Here is a 23025-nt window from a genome sequence, read left to right on the forward strand (position 1 = left end):
AAGATCAGATTGTCATATTTTTATATTAAGCCTAGCTTCATGCAGTCACTCAGGCAGTATTGCCACCCAAATGAAGCTTTTTGTTATATCTAGAGTACCACATTTAATGGAAAAAAAACTCATAATTTCACTTAATTGTCTGAATTAATTGTCTGAATTTCCAAGTAGAAAAATCACACACTTGTATGCATTTAAGCAGAATATATCCTCTATGTGAGGTCTTACCAAATTAGAAAAAATAAGCACAAACCTAGAAAACCCTAAAACATGGTAATCAATGTACAACAGACAATGTGTAATTCTTTTATGTCACTTACATTCTCTTTCAAAAACCTAAAATTGCAGGCAGGTTTTTGAAAGGAACTGCATCATGAGCAATTTGGAATTGGTTTTGCTGAAGTATCCTATGAAAATCCACAGAATCGAGACATCAAAATCAAAGATGATTTTTAAAAAACATTAAACTACCTAATCCAGGGCCTTGCCTTAAGGGGCCACTGAACATTATTCTAAAGACAGATTTTTTCTTGGTTTCAAGATTTCAGAAATATCCAATTGGTCTAACCAGTGTTTGAACACTTTTCTAATATGTGGCTCCATATTGTCCTTGTATATATAATGAACAAGGACAATGGGAAAAAAATGCTTGACCAATTAGGATGCAAAGCTGATTTTTTAAAACTACGATAAAATGAAAGCACATTTGGAAGAATATGAAGCCTCATAACTTATTTCCAGTTAAGTGATAAAGAATGTAAGCAGATAGTTGGAACTCATCTGATGTGGACAGAAAATAGTTAGTAATCCCAGAACAACTGATGGTGCTGATCCTATTTTGAGTTTACTATGCCATTTCACAGCACACAGACACAGTACATAATGCATACAGAACATAACAGACCTTTTTCATACGTCTCAGGAGATATTACCTTGGGAATTTAAAGCATAGTATTCCCAGAGAGATAACAATAAGCCCTAAAGAAACCATTAATATGGTATAGATGTTACTGATTAAGGCAATAGTTGGGAGACCTGAAAAAAAGTATCCAGCCAATTTCATCAATTACATGGGTCCCCAGAATTTAATCAAGATAACCTAATACTCATTAAATGTTGGAATAGTGGTGCATAATGAAACCTTTGCTGTGACAATAATATATTAGGTACTTGATAAAAAGTGATATTTTTGGGTGCTGGCACATTAAGCAGCAATTTGAAAATACATGTCTACCTTTTGACACAGGCCTCTAGCATATCACTGGCCATTAGTTTAAGTCTTTGCTCTAAGTGGTGGGCAAATTCCTGTTCTGGCCAGTGCAGATCAAAGACAAACATTTGCAGTGCATCAAGCTTCCAAAAAAGGTCTTCTGATGTTGCTGAGCCATTGCTAGAAGAAAAAGGAAAAATGAACATCATGAACTCCCCGTTAATTAGGTATACCATTAATACATTGTTTTTTCTTTTCTGCATCAATTGCCATCAGTGAAAAAAATACCATATAAAGTCTCTAATGATCCAATATTTTCTTTGTTCAGCCTTCTAATTGTTCCTCTACAATTCTTAATAAGGCAGGGCAAGGAGAACAAAATAGAAATAAATATGGTGGTAGGGTTTCATACAAAGAGGTAAAATGGATATGTATACTTTACTAAGGAAGTTATATTGTGTACATAAGAACAAACATTGTAACTGTTCTTTACCAATCTCTAGGATAAAGATTCTTGCAAATCCCCAAAATTATGTTTTATGCAAGAAAATCCTTATGTTAGTAACCAGTACCTTTGCCGTTATTCATGCATATGTGCCTCTGTCACCATGGTGGTTTCTGTCTATCTACACGTGTGTAGAACATAGGGTCCTTGAATTTCTCAATTACAGGTAAAGATGAGACAGGAACTGGAAATAAAACGGGCTAGGTAGGGAAGCAATCTTTTATTTTCATTTTTTGCTTTTTCTGGCTTATTAAAACCCAACTTAGTGCAAGGTATTGTCTGACAGAGAAATGACATTCAGGGTGCTCTGAAGATGGAGAAAAACAATGCGTTTCAGGTCCTTATATCTAACTGTGGAGCCAAGATTTGCTAAGCATTCACTATTATGGTAAAATTACTCTACAGGAGTGCTATCACCCCATGTATGAAGATAACTTATAGAAGAGTTACAGTAACTTATAGAAGTTACCTTCTAGAAGGTAACTTATAGAAGAGTACATATAATATTTTGGCAAATGGTTATTACTTTCCATTATGCAAGTACATAGGCTAATACAGAAACAAGTGTTTTGAAAGTAAAATATTCCTACATTAAAACATATTGAAATTTAACCATAAAAAGCATAAAAGCAAAAGCAAAAAAAAGCTGCTGTATGATTCATTTGTTCTCAGCTTTCCCACAATTGCTTCACATATACTAACTTAAAATTTATATTTCTAGTTTACAAAAGAAAATTAAAGAAATAAACTCATTTATTACAACAGCACAGGGGAAAATACCTATGTAACAAACCTGCACATTCTGCACATGTATCCCAGAACTTAAAGTAAAATTAAAAAAAAATAAATTGTTTAAAGCACCACATTGTTTCGCTAAATATATCTTTATGAGCTAGCTTAGAAAAAAAGGCACCTCTTGCTCTTGACTAATGAAAAGCTTATTCCTGCCCTCCACCCTGGCCTCAGCGTCAAAGCTCTATCACAAACCTACACTGCTTTTCTCTTCTCATTCTGCCAGTAATTCCTCCTGATCTCCTTGTCTAGCCAAAATGCCCTCAGACTTAAGTTCTCTAGGGACCAATCATAGCAAAGCACTGAACACTCCCGTAGCACTTTACTCACTTAAATCTCTTCACCGTAATATTCAGTGCCTCAAATGCACCATTAAATAAGAGAACTAGACAACACCATTCTGATACTACAGTGAAAGTGTTGAAAAAAACACTACCTTTATTTCTCCTTTTGCCATATATATCATACAATTAAGAGAAAACAAACAAACAAAATCTCCCTTCACATCCACAGTGTACAGCTTGGTAGATTAGAGGAACTGAGTTTTAAGAATAACTGAATACAATTGGCAAAGAAGCAAATCTGCTTCTTATAATATTTTTACTTTGGAGAAATGTAACTATTTGGAATGTATATATTCTTTAACAACACAATGACAAGGAAAAACATCATAAAAACAAAATCTCTAATGGTAAAGGCAGAATTCTACTAAAAATAGATTTTCTAATAATACATGGCAATCTTCATAGAGAATATGGTTACATTTTTCTTCTGTTTGATTCTATGGTAAGATTCTTGACAATAAATGTGTTTAATTGGGAATGTAATTAAGATAACAAGTGTTTGTTATAATTAGATAGATATATGAAAAAAATGTGAGTAGGCTTTCTCTGGAGTTGGTACATATAACCTGCAATTTATTCAGAGCTTTTTCATTTTAAAATTATTTCTAATTGGTGGCCTATTCCTAAAGGTATTATTAACAGATTAAAGAATTCGAATGTGAGTAGTAGACTCTGAGATAATTTCCTAAAAATGCCAGCAGGAAACTTAACTTGCTGGCATTCATTTCTAGAGAAAAAAAAACAGAATAAAGATTTATATACAGATACATATGTCGATGAGCAATCCTTGCATGATTTATGCATTGGTAGGCAGGGATGTATCTTCAAAACCATGGTTGCTTTTATATTCTTCTTATTTAATCAGCAGTTGTATTTTTAATTCTTTATGTTAAATATAAATGTTTCTTTTTATTAATGTTTCAAACTTCAAAAAACAAATGGCAATAACATCATAACATTATGAGTAATTCTGGACACTCTGACAAAGAACCTAATGTTGATAACCTTGGTAGGTAAAGATAATGGTGATCAACTTGTAAAACACATTTTTAAATTTCCCCAGAATGGTGAAAGCACAATCACTTTACTTACAAAGCCCCAATTTGTCATTATTCCTGTCCTGAAATTAACATACTTTAAAAAAGGGCCCTCAATAAGGGATTCAGAGTTTGTACAAATCCCAAAGTTAATAAAAGATTACTAACAAAAAAATAAATTTCGCAGGATAATGCCCATGATAGTGTTCTTGGCTAAAATCAAGCGTTAAATAGATGAGAAATTAGGAAGAAAAGGAGTTAAATTATAAAACAGTGTAAAAAAGAACAAAAAAATCATACACTTAGAAAGGTTCATTATAGTTTGTAGGCAATTTTCTGAGCACACACAGACACCACTTTACACACTCTAATGACCAAAAGCATTTGCCTGTAAGAAAAAAAATTCACATGTAACATAATATCCTAGTGAGTATTATGAATGCAGTTATGATGTTAAACTTGGAGAAATATTGCCAAATTACTTTGCAAGTTATTCTCTTTCTTGGTCTTTTCCTATTTCTTTTCTTGATTGTGTGCATACCTGACTGGGTGTGGATTTGCAGTTGGTGGTGGGATAGGTAGAAAAGTAGCAAGTTCTTAAACACAACGTTCTATGACAGCAGAACAAATTAATGATAGGAGTGAGGAATTTGTAGTCAAACGAACCTGGGTTCAAATTTTGCCTCTGTCACTTATTTGCTGTGAGATATTGGGTAAGTTTGGTTTCTTAGTTTCTTTATGACTTAGTTTCCTTAACTGTAAAATGGGGATAATGATATGAGGTTGTTATAAAGATTAAATGAGATAAATAACTTGGCACTGTACTGGAAACAGTAAAATCTCAATAAATGGAAGCTATTTTTCTTCCTCTCATGATTATTCTTTCTAGTTGATTTCATATGAGATCTTGGGCAAAGCAGGTAACTGCCCGAGTTTTCCCATTTGTAAACTAGTACTATTACTTGGTTCTGATTGCTGTGAGGCTCATAGTTTTAAAAACTATACCATTATAAATTATAATGATGATGCCTGATGATAGTAATAATAACAAAAACAACAATGTAGAGTAGTAGTAATTATCATTTACTGGGTGCCTAGGATATGCCAATAGTACTAATAATTTACTGAGAGCCTAGGATATGCCTCAATACAGTTTTTTTTTTTTAAATCATCACAAAAACATCTTTCATTTAGGTGTCATAATTGTTTTAGAGTTGAGGAAAAAACTCAGGCTAAGAAGGATTTACAATTAATAAGCTAAGATCTAAATTCAGAACTGATCAATTTAAAAGCCCATTCCTGTTCACTTCAGTGGTTCTTAGTTGCTGATTCTGCAATAGGCAAGCTCATCATGATGTGAAGTTAATAAATATGGTTTTTGATGATATAAAGACTATTTAAAAATACCAAGATGTACCAACTATATAATAAAAGAACAAAAGAAGAACTTCCTGGTTTTGGCAATGAAAGGGCCTGCAATGATGCAGTACTGTTTTTTAAAAGTTGAGACTAAGATAAAAATAGAAAAATATTATATTCTTGAAACCATTCTTCCAAAGGTTTTCTACTTGCACAAGATAAGTCATCTGGGCAGTAATAAAGCTGGAGCTAAGAATCCTCAAAATGCTTTGTATACATAAGGAGAACTCTGATTATTTTACTTAGGGTACAATGTCACCAAATGATTTACTTAGGGTAGAATGCCACCAAATTATTCCTGTCCCACAGATTATATATGAACTACATTAAACTAGCGTGTTTTTTCTTTTTAATTGACATTATTCATCACAGATATGCTAAGCTTAGCTTACTAGCTTAAAAACTCAAATAAAAAAAAAAAAACAGTATTCCTCAACCAACGATGACAAATGCCATGCAGTCTAAACACATCTGCGCAGAACACAGCCCAGGCCATGCACCAGCTAACACACCACCAGGAAATAAGTGAGGAATACACACGTGGACTCATATAAAGAAGGCATCCACGAAGCAGTAGAAATGTTAGGAATCTGTGGAAGATTAAGAGGCAGACTTGGAACTTTTGGAAGAGCTACATTGGGAAGACTGTTGGCGATATTCCTGTAAAGAAACAAACAACGTGGGAAGGGACCACCATAAGCGATAACTACAGATGGCCATGTGTGAAGTCATAAGGTCAGGGTTGAAGAGGCAGGTGCTCTACGGACACTAGGTAAGATACCTACTTGACAGGCTGCCATGTCTCCTGCTCAAAACCTCTGTGAATTGACTGGGCGATGGAAGACTCCATGAGATCCACATAGCGGACAACCAAGGGTACAAAGATTTCTTGCAAGTGTTTGTGAAATTTTCCATTACACAAAAGTGCTGAAATAGCCAAGCAGAAACAGTGTTTGTCAGAGGGATAATATCAGACATTTGGAAAATATGGGCCAAAAAAACACGTTTTCTGAGAGAGTCTGACACAGAAGAACTGATAAAATGCAGATGAGAGTAGATCATACCCCCCATATTGAATATCATATCATGGAAATTGATCAAAAAGTATAATTAGCCTTCTATATATGGCTGTCAAAACACAAATAGATTATATCTCTCTAAAATTCTCCTGGCAGGTGGTATGTTTTTATTTTCTAAGAGGTTTAACACATAGGCACATGACCACTCGCTGGAAATTCAAGGGAGCTGCCAGCTCCCCTGAAGGTCCTGACACATGTAAATACAGCAATTAAGCAGAGTTACAATCTCTGTGCTATGCTGTGTATCACAGAGGAGCTAAACCTTCTCAATTCTAAGAGGTAAGCTTGATGACTTGTAAAAGCTATTCTTGTTCACTAGGAGGGTGTCTGTGGGTTTGGGAATATCTATTTTGATTCATGAACATTATAGTTATTTGTGGATTTTCTTTTTAGTCATTCAATTTTGCATATCTGTATTTAAAAACAGCACATGACCTGGATTTTTTAGTTTTCCATTTGTCTTTAATAAATGGTAGTATGGAACATCCTACCTAAAGTAGTGACAGAAATCTTAGAATTTGTGCTACAAGGCTGCTGGGCAAGGTATACTCACCTTTTTCAGGCGATGAATGTTTTCTATGCAGATGATACAATTTTATTAAAATATAGGTGAGTATATGCCTAAGTTTCACCATTAAAAAATAGAGAATCTATATGAAAACAGTAATGCTAAGTAATATTTAACAAAGACTTTATTTTAGATGACAGTACTATAGATTGTAAATATTTCTCAAAGAACATGTCCTAAGCCCCATTGTGGCCCTCAAAGTGAAAATGTGCTGATTTAAAAATATACTCTGTGGTCAGGAAAGGTATTCCTGAAGAGACAGAAGAACCTTCCATGGAAGACTTAAAGGGGAGGTTTCCAGGTAGAGGGAACAGCTAGCAAACAAGTTTTGGGAAGGAATAAGCTTGGGTCTTTGCAGAAAGATGAAAGGCCAGAGTAACTGCAATAGACTGAGGGAGGGGGAGGGGCAGCCCATGGCAGGGTCTAGATCCTAGGACTGAGTAAGGAGTGTTGCTCTTAGTGGGTGTGATGGGAAGCTTTATGATGCTTATGATTATGCAGAGGAGTGACATGATATGATCTCTCTGGCTGCTGTGTGGAAATGGAGTAGGTAGCCAGGAGTGAAAACAGAGAAAAAGGTTAATACTCAGTTGTTTACTGCAATAGACTAGGTAAAGGATGATAATGGCTTTGACTAGGGTGAAGAGGTAGAAGCTGGGGAAAAGTTAGTAATCTCATTCACTTTTATGGATTTGAATAGCTATATATGCTTATAGTTACTAAATCTAATTACTAGCAACTCCAATAGCAGTGTCTTATAAAATATTCACTATGACAACTTCCCACATTATCTTCTTCAGAGCAAAAACATCCCAAAAGCCTAATAGTGTTTTAGCTCTTGTCAAAGTACATGATGTTTATCACTGTGGCATGTATATGAAGATGGCTTCGATATGTTACTTTATGCGTTTCTGAAATTTCTCTGAGGCTGGACAACTACAGGCACATAAATTGGTGTGGGAAGTAATTCTAAACACAGAAGGAAATATAACAGATTTTTTTTTCTACCTCTAATTGATATGGGTTAGTATTTTTTGTGGTTAAATACTCTTTTCCCAGCTCAGCTATATGCTAAAACATTTCCCATTAAATTGTGAACAATAATCATATTTAATGATAGGTGTCTTATTTAGGAGACTAATGTTATCTTAATGATGTTTTCATTAGCACACTGAAAGAAGCTTTATTTATTCCTGGAGATTCAATCATCGAGCTAGAAGGTACTATAGCTCAAATAATTCAGTTCCTTTTATCAAATGCCACCTAAATAAGCATGCTAAACTTTAAGGATAAAATATTCTCACTCAAACCATCTAATTCACTGTAGTATGCAAATTAAAAAATATACTGATATCTGAATTTATTGGGTCTCTACTTAAGAACTCTCATTCTCTTCTTCCTCCTCCTCATCCCTAGCATATTTGGAGTACCAAGCACTATGTGAAGTCCTATATGTGCCTTATCTCATTTAATCATCACAGAAACTCTACGAGGGAGGATTTTTTTTTTCTTTTTTTTTTTTTAGAGACGGAGTCTTGCTATTGTTGCCCAGGCTGGAGTGCAATGGCACGATCTTGGCTCACTGCAACCTCTGCCTCCTGGGTTTAAGCGATTCTCCTGCCTCAGCCTCCCGAGTAGCTGGGATTATAGGCGCATGCCACCATGCCCAGCTAATTTTTGTATTTTTGGTAGAGACAGGGTTTCTCCATGTTGGTCGGGCTAGTCTCGAACTCCCGACCTCAGGTGATCCACCCGCCTCGGCTTCCCAAAATGCTGGGATTACAGGTGTGAGCTACTGCGCCTGGCTAGAACTATTTTTTTAAACTTATCAATAAGGTAACTGAGGCATAGAGAGTTTAAGATACTTGTTTAAGATCATTTAGTCATTAGTAGAACCAGGATTTGATAGAAAAACTCCTTGTTAACCTCTATAAAACTACCATTCCTCACTCTGACAACCAATTAGTCATCAAGACTGGTGTATTTTATATCCTTAATATCTTTCAGTAAGTTACCGTGCTCTCTTCATCACCACTGCTGTTGCAATAGTCCAGCCCTCTCATCTCCTGTCTTGATTAATGCAATAATAACCTAACTGGTCTTTAGGATCCTAATATTTCCTCTGCCAATCCATCTTCTCAAAATCATAAGCAGAGGGGCTTGCTGAAATATGAAACTAAGAATGTCACTCCTAAAGATTATAATCCTTTAGTGGATCATTATGACAAGCTTGAAAAGCCTGAGCATGGTATGAAAGCTTTCCAAGACCTGTCTACAAGTTACTTCTCCAGCTCATTTCTGTTGTCTTACCTTTCATTTCCTGTGATACAGTCATAATGACTTTCACGATTCAATATACACCTGCTCCTCAAATCCTTTCTAGAAATGCTTCCTTCTGCTGTCCCCTTGCCCAATTACTGGCTTCTCTTGTTTACTCTCTACCCTGGACAGGTTTCCACTGTGGTTCTTGTCATACAAGTGGTCTTCTCCTGCTGACATATTTCTTGCTGACATATTTCTCGCTGCCTACAAGGATGTAAGGTTCTCAAGGCAGGAACTATGTCTGTATTCTAAGTTCCAGAAAAGTCCCTGGCTCAGAGCAAGTAATCAAATGTTTGTTGGATGAATGAATATTTGAAGGCTAAGATTATTACATTATTATTGTATTAAATGGCACTTATAAAACCTATTGAGGCCTGTGTATACGCCTCATACTTTGTATAAAATATATAGCATTAAATAATACAGCTATAAGTTCTATTTTTAACCCATATGTACAAGATCGGACTGCTAAAAATTCTAATGAATATAAAAGTTGGTTATTTTATGTTTCTTATTTTAATGAATGTGGCAAAGAAAGGATTTTCTCTGGTCAGTTATGAATCTTGACAGCAAATGATTATATCCTGCAGAATTTAAAGAAAATGAAGATTACCTATATTTCCTATGAACTACAAAAAATCTTAAATTCTAGCCAAAAGTTTGCTCAGAATTCAGCAAAGAGTTATTTTTTATTTGAAAAAAATTATAAACCCACACTTGAAAATTTTAGAAAATTGGCAGTATTATTTCATTGGTAATTAGAGAGAAAGGGGAAGGAGGGAGTGGGGGAGAAATGGGGGAGACAAAGAGAAAATGATGGAGGGGAGAGGGAGAGGAGGGGTGGGGGAGGGACTAGAGGAGAAAGAAAGAGAAATACACAAAGAGGGGGAAAGAAAGGAAAGAGAATATTTGGTTTCCAAAGACAAGCTACAGAAATACACCCTACACTACACTTGTCTATGTAAATGTATGCTCCTTCCTTCGTTGTCCATATGGCAGCTTGCATTCCACTCCTATCAGACACTGTCAAAAGGCCCTCTTAATATGTAGCCTGAGGCATCAGAGTAAGTGCTTCTATCTTCTCCATATGGTTTAATAAGGATAGGTTATGATTTGGGGCTGTCACCTGTCCAAATCAAGCCTTTACAAAGCACCCATTACAACAGTTCATTGTAAGAGGCAAGTTCTTAATGCGGCCACATCCAAGAACACTTCTGACACCATACTCAAGTATGAGAGAGTGAAAAGGGCTGCTCAGAATGAGTCTCAAAAAGTGATTACCGCCTGAGGGGAAAGCCAGCACCTATTTTTCAGATAAAAAAATAACTTTTTTCCCGAAAAGATTCCATGTTTCCAAATATCACCTTGTTAGAAAATAATGAGGCATCAATGACATCGAGCCCTATGGTACAATTAGAAATGGCAAAAAGAAAACAAATGGCTTAAATATAAGCTAAACTCAGGATGCAATATGCCCAATTATTTTGAAAATCCCCGATAATAAATTAGTGTTGATTATTTTCATATGAAAAAGCCTCTTTCATTTACAAAAGTACTTGTCATAGGCTTTTAGTAGTAAGATTTCAACAGAGAATTTAAATTTAAACTATGATCCAATTAATAACAATTACTGAGACAATAATCACTGGGTAAAATAAAGAATAAGCAAATAAAAGAATTCATATATTGTTTTTAGGGTAAAAATATGCTGCTGACTCTTGAACCCATATAATCCAATTTTATAGTGCTCATCCTCTTCCAATTAGCTAGCTTTAGTGGATTACTAGAAAGAATGATTTTTCTCCTCAAACTTCTCATTAGGCATTTCAGAAGGAAATGGGTAATTCATTAGCAGCAAAACAAACAGACAATACAAATCACAATAAAATCAACAGACTTTGCCATAAAACAATTATTTAAGAGACTAAAAATTATATCAACCCTGAGCAATGCAAGCACAGTGGACTAAGAAAATTAATAAGTCGCTCTCCATGTTGACAAATGCATATAATGAAGACCTCCATCACAGAAACAGAAAATATGAATATGGGCTTCAGGAGAAAAGCCAGCAGAACTGCAGTCTAGAACAGCATTATGTAAAAGGAAAACACTCTTCTCTCTCTCTCTCTCTCTCTCTCTCCCGCCGCCCTCCCCACCCCTCACCCCTTCCTCCCTCCCTGAGATTTAGGAATAGCACCCAGCCAAGAATCTGGCACATTAAGTAGGCACTCTATAAATGTCTGATTATTGAATAAATATCAATAAAAATCTACCTCCTAAGGGAAACTCCAAGAACATCCCATTTAAGTAGACTAGGAAACACACTGGATTCTATTGTCCTTTTAATTAAAAATTTGACAAGTAATTTTATATTTGGTAATATTAATGTATACATTAACTAGTATAATAACCCCTAAAACCACACCCAGTTCTTCCTTTTCCCTTGGGGCACTTGCTAATATATATTTATACACCTATACATCTACCTAGGGAGAGAAAGTGACAAGAAGTGATAGAACACAGCTGTTAAAATGTTTCTTACTTTTTTGGGCAACACATCCAAATTTAAAACTATAATGAAAAAATTTCATAGAATGGCACACATAATTTGAGTTATACTTCTACAATCTACTGCATCAAGTTATTTGTGTATATATGTGCGTATCCTCCACTAGATTTTATGTTTTTCAAGGGGAGGAATCATTTCTTATTTATACATGTATTTGCAAGGAGCCTAGGATTTGTAAATTGTAGGCATTAGGCACTTGTTTCTTGTGAAACTAATTCAGAAAAGCTTAATTAACCGAAGCTTATAAGGCAAAGATAAGTAAAGAAGTCTTATGGTCCAGCAGTCCTCATGCTGTTTTTTAAATGAAATTATGTAATATTAAAGGCAAATAGAAAAGTCTGTAATTTTACTCAAGCTATGCATAGCCTTCTAATCTTTGAGTTAATGTCCCACAATACTTGCCCCATCAATGGGAATGATTGAGTACAGCTATATCATGATCGATAACTCTCTCAAGGGTGGGTTTCTTTTTTTTTTTTTTTTTTTTTTTTTTTTTTTTTTTTTTTTTTTTGAGACGGAGTCTCGCTCTGTCACCAAGTCTGGAGTGCAGTGGCGCGATCTCGGCTCACTGCAAGCTCCGCCTCCCGGGTTCACGCCATTCTCCTGCCTCAGCCTCCCGAGTAGCTGGGACTACAGGCGCCCGCCACTACGCCCGGCTAACTTTTTGTATTTTTAGTAGAGACGGGGTTTCACCGTGGTCTCGATCTCCTGACCTCGTGATCCGTCCGCCTCCGCCTCCCAAAGTGCTGGGATTACAGGCGTGAGCCACCGCGCCCGGCCAAGGGTGGGTTTCTTGATGCCCATGGTTTTCAGAAGTTACAGGTGTTCCTGTGATCTGTTACAAGAAACACACTGGCATTTTAGAATAGGTGATTATCTTTAAGCCACTAAACCCTATGAAAATATAAAAAGCAGATTAAAATTTTTAAAAAGTCTACAAGTAGGAAAGAAACTAGAGCAGGCAGGGCGCAGTGGCTCACGCCTGTAATCCCAGCACTTTGGGAGGCCGAGGCGGGTGGATCACTTGAGGTCAGGAGTTTGAGACCAGCTGGACCAACATGCAGAAACTCCATCTCTACCAAAAATACAAAAAATTAGCTGGGTGTGGTGGTGCATGCCTGTAATCCCAGCTACTTGGGAGGCTGAGGCAGGAGAATTGCTTGAATCTGGGAGGCGGAGGTTGTGGTCAGCCAAGATCACTCCATTGCACTCCAGCCTGGGCAATAAGAGCGAAACTCCATCTCAAAAAACAAAACAAAAACAAAAACAAAACAAAACTAAACAAAAAAAGAAAAAAAAGAAATTAGAACAGTACTGTGGAATTCAACTGAGGGGAAAAAGGTAGTGACTCCTTGCTTTTATATTTCATTTACCATACTGGTCAGTAAAACAAATTCTGACACACCATTTTGAATCCAATCAACTCTGGGGATTAGAGTTAAATACATTCTCACATTTTGGCCCTTATTTCATCATTTGTAAAGTGCATACTTATAAAACTAATCTGGCATGCACAGATTTGCTGCAATCTAGATGTTATACCCTTTCTGCATTGTCCCTGGTTTATGTATATCCAGATATATCTATAAACACCAATTCGTGAATTTCAGATGAACAGCTCATTTAAGCACTTGAAAGAGAATAACACGCAGGTGTCAGCCTTCCATATTTCAAAGCTTGAAGATTAACCTAATATACAATATGGTGACCTAACAGTCCTTCATTTGAAAGAAATCTGAAAAATAATCTCTGATACAGCCTAAGTGTGAGAATAACCCAGCAGGATTTCCACCTCTTCATTTCTTAATGAGTTTTTTGATAATGAGAGGTGACTTTGCCAGTCACTCTGGGCTCTATTATGGCTAATTTGACTCCACTTCACTCTCCTTGTTAATTATTAACACTAGCCTTTTTATCCTCATGAGACCACATTCCAATTTTTCCTTTTTCGATTTTTATGAGCCCATCTTTACGAAGGTGAAAGTCTTCGAGAATAGGTTTTCACTTAGTGTAGAGCAGGAACATTTATTATTCGTTTAGGCAGAGATGCTGTGACATTGATTATATAAGCACGGGTGTTCTTTGGGATGACTTTAATGTGCTAGCAATGTGAAAAGGCTGTTAATTAAAGAAGCAGCACCGTGGTATTTTTCAGTTGGGAACCAGTTCCCAATAGAATGGTCATTTGCCACTTGCTAGCATATCCACAGATTAAAAGGTGACTAGCTCCAAGGGTTTGCGTTTCAGTAGTGCTGAAAGAAATGATTTGTGCCATTTGCAGATGGCTTTCATTTGTCAGAAGTGGTCACTTGCCTTATCTATTATTGACAGAACAACTATGGAAATAGTGTGCAAGGGTAGAATCTATTTGTACTAGCTTTATAGTCACTCAGTATCATTGAACCATCGTGCCAATTACTTCATTATGAAAACATTTATCTTCCCTCAATTTGAATACATCTCTCTTTCAAAAGTGTTTCCTTAGATACCATTTAAACTGATTGCCCATTAAATTACCTCTTTAGTAGGGGAGTAGATTGGGGTAGATGAAGGCAGGGTAGAGAGCGAAGTGAGAGCTTGGTCTTTTTTGGCCAGAAATGGAGGCTGACTTTGTTTTCATCATCAGTTTTGCTCTGGGAGTCAGTGAGTGAGTCTGTGAGGGGTGGGACATTGGGGACAGTTGCTAAAATTGTGGTGCAGCTGGTGCTCTTCCCTTGAGGAAAACCGCATTTCATCTCCAAGGGTTCTCCACATTTCATCTCCAAGGGTTCTCCAAGCTATGACTTTCCCTAATCATGGCTAACTGTAAGGAAAGGCACACACCCCAGACAGATGTTTTTTTATTTTTTTCTCCTTAAAATAGAAACCGAATTTGCTGTCTTGAACCTTCCCTCACTAATTAGTTCAGTCTCTAGAAGTCTTGTCACAGATGGTTCCTAACATACATGCTGAGACCACACATACCTTTATCTGATCCTTTCTGTACTCTTTAACCAACTCCTTTCCTCTGCCCCCGACAACACAATGCCCTTATAAATATTTCCTCATTAAAAAATAAAAGTTCAAGGACTCTCTTGTCTTCCTTAAAAAGATGATATTATTTTATAAATGCCCACAGAATCTGCTTTTTATACAATGAAATGAGACTGAACTGGAGACCCAGTACTCAGGCTCTGACTCATCTCTGTCCTTAACTCCCTGCTGTCAAGCCCCCCGCCCGAGTTCCTGCCTCTAGGCATTAGGTTTCCACAGCTAGAAAATGAAGAGTTTTGTTTAAGATCCCTTCCATACTCCAAAAGATAAAAAACTATTTTTAAACATCGAAGCATACAAATTTTAATCTAAGGAAGATAAGAAACCAATTAGGACGACTGAATTATTCATGAACCACCCCCCAACTCAGCTATAAAGTTTTCAAGCCACTAATTAAGTACAAATTCTAACTAATGTCTCCATTAGTTTGAAAGGTCTTAGTAATTTTAAATTTTGGGAAAGCAAACATAAATATGCAACATTATTAGTAATAAATCACAAACTGTTTAAAAATCTAAATATAATTAGCAGCCTATTTTGTGTAACGCACACACACACAGACTGATGCCGATGTAAGCAAGCACTGTTTTTCAACAAATTAACTCCCTTCCTAATATTGGACATTCAGAGCTCTCTGTCCTATTACCTTTGGCTAGTTAAAGTTGTAATTATTTCGAATTTAGACAATAACTCTAATTGGGTCAACATGGTAAAAACTGTAATGCCATGGCCGCAATGTAAGAATTTCTTTTTCTTTCAAGGGGTACTAAAAGAATAGAAGTTCAATATTTTCCCATAGTTTTCCAAAAGGACAATTTGGGGGCAGCTGCAGGTTGACATTAAACATTTGAATTGAATTCACTAAATAACTCAGTATCTAAGGAATGTAATAAAACAAACACACAATTATTAACAATGGTCTTCAGTATCACCAAGGGTGATATTAACAGCTGGAAGAATTATGTTTTATCAGCTACTCAGTGGTATTGATTTTGGATGGAAACTTGTGAGTTTGGGGTAAAAGTCACTGCATTTTATTTCAGTTCCCCAGATCACACCACACTCTCAGTACCAAAAGGAAAATATGACACTGGGGAACTTTTCTGTTTACCTCTCTACATGGGGGAGCTGTTTTTCTCAGAAATAATTGAGGTTTTCTAAAATCTGCAAATCACCATAAAATAAAAGCCAAGACCTAGACTTACCCTCAAAACTGAGTGCTCAAAAGAGATTAGTACTAAATGCTTCTCTGTTTTGACTGAGTACGGTACAACAAAATAACACAAGATGATATGTAGTCAATGTATAGAAATAGTTAAATCAGGAGAGAAATATAAAACATATTTAATATGTGAATTAAATATTTGTAAACATGATTGAAAATTACATTTTATAGTTAGAATTATGAAAATTATGTAGTTTTAATTTATTACCCCACAAATTTACACTTGCATTGAAAAACCTCTTCTTAAAAATAAATATGAAAAAATATTAATTCATTGGAATTAATGATATTCCATTCATTGTAGATAAGTAATTCATTGTAGATAAGTAATTCCATTCATTGTAGATGAATGAATATTCCATTGTAGATGAATGGAATATCATCAAAAAATATTAATTCATTGTAGTAGAAGTTCTCCAACAAAACTTCCAAGAAATCCACAACATATTTTGTTTTCTCTATAAAATAAATTACAATATTTTGAATAAGTTAAAATATTCATCATCTTACCTAATTGCTTGATGGTGAACATTAATAATGCCTTGTTTTTTTTATTATACTTAAAGTTTTAGGGTACATGTGCACAATGTGCAGGTTAGTAACATATGTATACACGTGCCATGCTGATGTGCTGCACCCATTAACTCGTCATTTAACATCAGGTATATCTCCTAATGCTATCCCTCCCCCCTCTCCCCACCCCATAACAGGCCCCAGTGTGGGATGTTCCCCTTCCTGTGTTCATGTGTTCTCATTGTTCAATTCCCACCTATCAGTGAGAATATACGGTGTTTGGTTTTTTTGTCCTTGCAACAGTTTGCTGAGAATGATGGTTTCCAGCTTCATCCATGTCCCTACAAAGGACATGAACTCATCATTTTTTAAGGCTGCATAGTATTCCATGGTGTATATGGGCCACATTTCTTAATCCAGTCTATCATTGTTGGACATTTGGGTTGGTTCCAAGTCTTTGCTATTGTGAATAGTGCCGCAATAAACATACGTGTGCATGTGTCTTTATAGCAGCATGATTTCTAATTCTTTGGGTATATACCCAGTAATGCGATTGCTGGGTCAAATAGTATTTCTAGTTCTAGGTCCCTGAGGAATCACCACACTGACTTCCACAATGGTTGAACTAGTTTACAGTCCCGCCAACAGTGGAAAGGTGTTCCTATTTCTCCACATCCTCTCCAGCACCTGTTGTTTCTTGACTTTTTAATGATTACTATTCTAACTGGTGTGAGATGGTATCTCATTGTGGTTTTGATTTGCATTTCTCTGATGAATAATGCCTCATTTTAAAATAACCCCCAAAATACATCTAAGTATGTTTGATTCTTGAGTTTTCATTCAAATAGAGAAAACAGTGTTAAAAAATATCTTACATATGGCCGGGCGCGGTGGCTCATGCCTGTAATCCCAGCACTTTGGGAGGCCGAGGTGGGGGGATCAGGAGGTCAGGAGATCGAGACCATCCCTGGCTAGCACGGTGAAACCCAGTCTCTACTAAAAATACAAAAAAATTAGCCAGGTGTGTGGTGGCGGGCGCCTGTGGAGGCAGAGCTTGCAGTGAGCCGAGATCGCGTCATTGCACTCCAGCCTGGGCAACAGAGTGAGACTGCATCTCAAAACAAAACAAAACAAAACAAACAAACAAAAGTCTCAAAAACAAAAAACAAAAAAACAAAACAAAACAAAAATACCTTACTTACTTATTCTCATTTAGGGGACTTAATGCCTAATATATATACTTATTTTTGGCAGCAGGTTTACTGTTATACATTTGTCTTAAGATAATATTAAAAACCTGACTGTAATTTCATAGCAGAAAATGAATGATGACAGAAGATTGGGAAAGGAAGACAGTCATTCCACGTTGGCTAGCTGGCAGGAAGGAAACAAACTGGAACTTAAAAATTGGCTGAGGGCCAGGTGCAGTGGCTCACATGTGTAATCCCAGCACTTTGGGAGGCTGAGACAGGTGGATCACTTGAGGTCAGGATTTTGAGACCAGTCTGGTGAACATGGTGGAACCCCGTCTCTACCAAAAATATAAAAATTAGCTGGGTGTGGTGGTGCACGCCTGTAATCCCAGCTACTTGGGAGGCTGAGGCATGAGAATCGCTTGAACTTCGGAGGCCACTGGAAGTGCCACTGGGAGTGTCACTGCACTCCAGCCTGGGCGATGGAACAAGCTCTGTCTCAAACAAAACAAACAAAAAACCGGCTTAGGATAATTTGCAGAATGAATGATTCGCATATGGATAATTGCATGTGGTTTTATTAACAACCACTGAGAGCAGGCCTTATGGTTGAATCTAAGGTAGGAATTGTAAGCTTATAATAGCATCTTTGGAAATGAAATGAAATTGGATAGGAGAATGAATAAGACTAACAAAATCTACAGTATTTATTGTGTTATATGTGAGTTATCATCTTATTTAATGCTCACTGACAATGACACTGTTGGTGCTATTATTTTCCTTCTTTTATAGATATAGCACCTAGAGTTTGGAGAGGTTAAGCTATTGTCAAAGGTCAAGTAGTAAGTGACAGAGAGACGTGAATCTGTCTAGCACCAAAGCTCATGTTGTTAATTACTCTAACATGATGCCTCCCTTACTAGAACAGAGGTTTTTAACCTGGTGCCCTAAATTTAGGATGTCCATGGAAAGTACAATATTACAAATGATTTCATGTCTATGTGATTTCCCCCCCACCAGTTTTATCACAGACTCAAAGAGGTGAACAACCAAAGGAAGTTAAGAAAGACTAGACTAGAGCCATGAACAAAACCAATAAAGATTTTTCTTTAAACAAAGACAACTACAAAAACATGAGTTTAGGTTTACAACCAGAAAGATATAGCAGTGGCCTTCTGGGATGAGAGCAGCAAAAACATGTGCAGTTTTAACATATAAAACGTTCTAAATAAAGTATAATAAAAAAAGTTCCAAATGTATTAACAGTGTGAAGAAGTTCCTTGGAGAGTCAGAGCAGACTTGGGCTGCAGGAAGACAGGGAAGAAGGAAGGAAAGCACCTCTCATTTGGGTCTGGGTTATTCAGGTCACATGGTGAGCACTGTGTTCTTCTGAGCACCACACTCCAGAAGAACACTGAGAAATGGAGTGAGGTCTATTCAGGGTAAGGTGATGAGAATGGCAATGGGCACGAAAACCCTATCGTGAGACAGAGTTGTTTTATATAGGAATAAAGAGTAGCAGAAGAAAATACATGACAGAAGACAACTGTTGCATTGATCAAAGAGAATGGGTCAGAACCAGAGGTTAGGAGGAGGCAGAGTTCATCTTGGTGCATCATGACAAGAATTTTATTCAGTAGGGAATTAGTGACTCCATGGTCACTTCAAGTGCTGAAACAAAGGTTGTCAGTGGTAACCAAACTTGAGACTAAATGAAACTTAAAAAAGCATCACAGGAAAGGCCTAGGAATCCGTATGTTAAAATCTTGATAAAAAACAGTTTGTTTTGTTTGCTGGAAGACCATCTACCAGAATGACTGTAAAATTTATTATTAAATTGAGAATAAAAGTATCAATAGAGAGCTTTTACATTCTCCTTAATTTCTAAATGTTGAATGAGCAAGTCATACCACACAGCAATATCTCCCTATCATCTGTACAAATGAACCAACTCTCAGGCCAGCAATATTACCGCAATGGACTTAAGCAGGAGCCTTAACATAACATGATTTCTACAATAATGAATTATTAAGGTCTTTCAGAGATGTAAATGTTCTCAAGTACTTTAGAAATGCCAGCCTTTGAAGATTTTCAGATTCATAAGGTACAATAAAGTTCATAAAGAAGGGTGCCTAGGTTATCAGACTTCAGTGAAGGTAGGAGGATGCAAATGAGAAGACCTTCAGAGCCCACTGGAGTGTGGGAGTCTCCCCGGGCTCCCTTAGTCTCTGGCCTGACATAATCGGGCAGGCTGAGCAAACCTAAATGTTACCCATGCGAACTCTTGTCAGGCCGGTGTGAGGGCACAGTAAAAATACATTCACATTCAACATTCTCCCACCCCTCCCCATTTCACATATGAAAGAAAACGCAAATGCTCACTGTCATTTCGGAGGAAATTATTAAGCAGTTGGAAAAGAGGAAAACTATCCCAGGAGTCTTGCGGTTGAGCCTCTAGTGCAGTGTCCATATCCACTGTAAATAAAGCCCAAAATTTCTCTGCATGTTCAGCCAATAAATCAGGCCACCAGGCAAATGCCTACAAAAGGATAAAAACATAAAGGAGAAAAGTAGATTACTTTTTAGAAACATGCACAAGTACTGTGCCAGTTGAAAATATTTTATAACATGTCTTAGTTTCACAAACAGGTATGATAAACAAAATATAATAGTTTTTAACCTGAGAAAAATTTTATAGGTACACATTAAAATCATAGATTTGGCACTGAGGAATGAAATAGAAAATAGAATTAAAATGTACAAGGACATTTATTCCTTTATAAAAGAAATACATGATTAGTTTACAACATTTAGAACATATATAAAACAAAAAAGAAAAATTATTTGTATCTCATAATTTAAACAAGTCTATTCTGAATTTTTTGGTGTATTTACTTCCAATATTTCTTTTTTTTTCTGTGAATAGAAACATTAAAACATTTGGTATTACACTTTATAAGATTTTCCTGTGATTTCACTTTTAATATAATAGCATAATCTTCTACTATAAGGATATACTGTTATTTTTTTTTTTTTACCAATTACCCTATTAAAATGGCTGTTTTCAATTTTTTGCTATTCTCAATGATAGCGTAGTAAATATTTTTACATAAATATCTTTGAATATAGCACTGATTATTTCTTTAGGATAAACTTCTAATAATTACTGGATTAATGGGTATGCATTTTAGAGTCTTCACACATTGCAAATTGCTCTTTATGAAAAGTGTTTGCTCACATCCATTCTCCATTCAGCAGCCAGTCATCATTTCATTTATTTTTTTTGAGACAGGGCCTCACTCTGTCACTTGGGCTGGAGTGCAGTGGGTTGATCTCAGCTTACTGCGACCTCTGCCTCCCAGCTTCAAGCAATTCTCATCCCTCAGCCACCCAAGTAGCTGGGACCACAGATGTATGCCACCATGCCCAGCTAATGTTTTTGTATTTTTAGGAGAAACGGGGTTTTGCTATGTTGGCCAGGCTGGTCTCCAACTCCTGGCCTCAAGTGATCTGCCGGCCTTGGCCTCTCAGAGTGCTGAGATTACTGGTGTAAGCCACGGCACCTGGCTTCAAATATGAATTGGATTATAACAGGAAAATACAAACCACAAAAAAGGGGATTGCAAAATTTTGACACACTATTTTCTTAAGAACTTTCCATGTTTATAAAAATTTCATGTTTCACATTTATAGTAAATATGGCCTTAAAATAATAGATATAAAATAATAATCAGTAACTAAAAAGATTGCCATGTAATTAATTAGCAGATGGTAAAGGCTGACTTAAGGAAGAACAGTGTAGTATAAAATAATAGATTTGAGAGTTGGGGACATTTTAATGCCTGGCTCAATGCTGTGACCAATATATGAATGTGAAAACTGGTTGGGAATGGTATGCATGATGAAAATTGAGCATACTGTTTTTTGCATATATTACCTTTGAATATTTTTTGGTTAAATATGTGATAAAATGGGTATATGACCTAACGTAAAAACACACAAAAAAGTATACATGATTTCATTACACAGATCTTGCGCCTATCTTTTGTAGCTATAGTGGTGACAAAAGAAGAACCTGAGATTCTCAGCTCTGAGTAGAGCAGCACAGAAAAATGCAGTCCTGCAAAGAGACATTTTCAAAATCTCACTTCCAGTTCACAGCCAATATCTTTGCAAAAGGTTAAAATTAAGAAAATAACAGTCATGTTAGTTCAGGTTGTTTCAGGACTCTGAGAAAAATTCCTAAAGGTCTTCTTAAAGTTAACTTGGAAGACAGAGCCAGGATGAGGAATGAAATAAAATGGAATACACTTTTTTTTTTTCAAAACAGCTTCAGGTTGGCAAGATTTTGCCATCAACTGGAAAATTTCATTGTTTTGCAGAAGTATATATTTATATCTCAAGTTGTACTCCTGATGATGCTATTCTTAATGAATGTAAGCCAATCTGTGATGAATGCCTCTTCTCCTAATGATGGCTAAATAACGCTTTAAGCAATCACTGTCTTTGAAAAATGAAAGCAACAGTTGCAGTTATCTTGAGAATACAGGGTCTTGTCTACAACCTGTCCCCTTCTCTTTCTTGCCATCCCACCCTGGGTTGGTAGGAAGATGAGGGGCTGTATAATTCCCTCCCTAGGGTATTACTTCCTGTGGGGTGGCTGAGATTCAACAGCATCAAGGTCTCCACCAGGGAGGAGAAAACCTCCCTCAGAAATGCATCCATCTACAGGGTACTAAACAGAAGTCATGATTATCTGGGTTAAAGTTCTTTTGGCTTTAATGCTAAGCCACTAATTAGTGTAAATGAGATGGCAGAGGCAGAAGGCAATGTTTAATTTGCTTAAGAGGGAAATATAAAACAAACCTTGATTTTAAGTCCTTCAGCTTAAAAAACTTACTACTGGCAGGGTGCGGTGGCTCACAAGTGTAATTCCAGCACTTTGGGAGGCAGAGGAGGGCAGATTACCTGAGGTCAGGAGCTCGAGACCAGCCTGGCCAACATGGGGAAACCCCGTCTCTACTAAAAATACAAAAATTAGCTGGCGGTGGTGGTGTGCACCTGTAACCCCAGCTACTCAGGAGGCTGAGATAGGAGAATCGCTTGAACCCGGGAGGTGAAGGTTGCAGTAAGCCAAGATCGCGCCACTGCACTCCAGCCTGGGTGACAGAGCGAGACACTGTCTTAAAAAAAACAAAAAACAAAAACAAAAACAAAAC

General features: G+C 36.6%; 1 protein-coding gene across 29 annotated transcripts in view; it reads right to left on the reverse strand.

Annotated features, from left to right (window-relative positions):
- Positions 1 to 23025, reverse strand: part of CADPS2 (calcium dependent secretion activator 2) — a 568050-nt gene that overhangs the window by 68941 nt on the left and 476084 nt on the right. For 16 of the 29 annotated variants that reach the window (XM_047421032.1, XM_017012794.3, XM_005250702.6 and 13 more), the window contains 4 exons: positions 20189 to 20345; positions 6090 to 6231; positions 5845 to 5964; positions 1232 to 1387 (listed from right to left, as the gene is read on the reverse strand). In XM_047421032.1, the coding sequence (XP_047276988.1) occupies positions 1232 to 1387; positions 5845 to 5964; positions 6090 to 6231; positions 20189 to 20345 (575 nt within the window). The remainder of the gene's footprint in view (positions 1 to 1231; positions 1388 to 5844; positions 5965 to 6089; positions 6232 to 20188; positions 20346 to 23025) is intronic. The other 13 variants (NM_001363398.2, NM_001009571.4, NM_001363395.2 and 10 more) reach the window with 1 other exon arrangement.

The sequence above is a fragment of the Homo sapiens genome, chromosome 7 (genome assembly GCF_000001405.40).
Source record: "Homo sapiens chromosome 7, GRCh38.p14 Primary Assembly".
Classification (NCBI taxonomy): domain Eukaryota; kingdom Metazoa; phylum Chordata; class Mammalia; order Primates; family Hominidae; genus Homo; species Homo sapiens.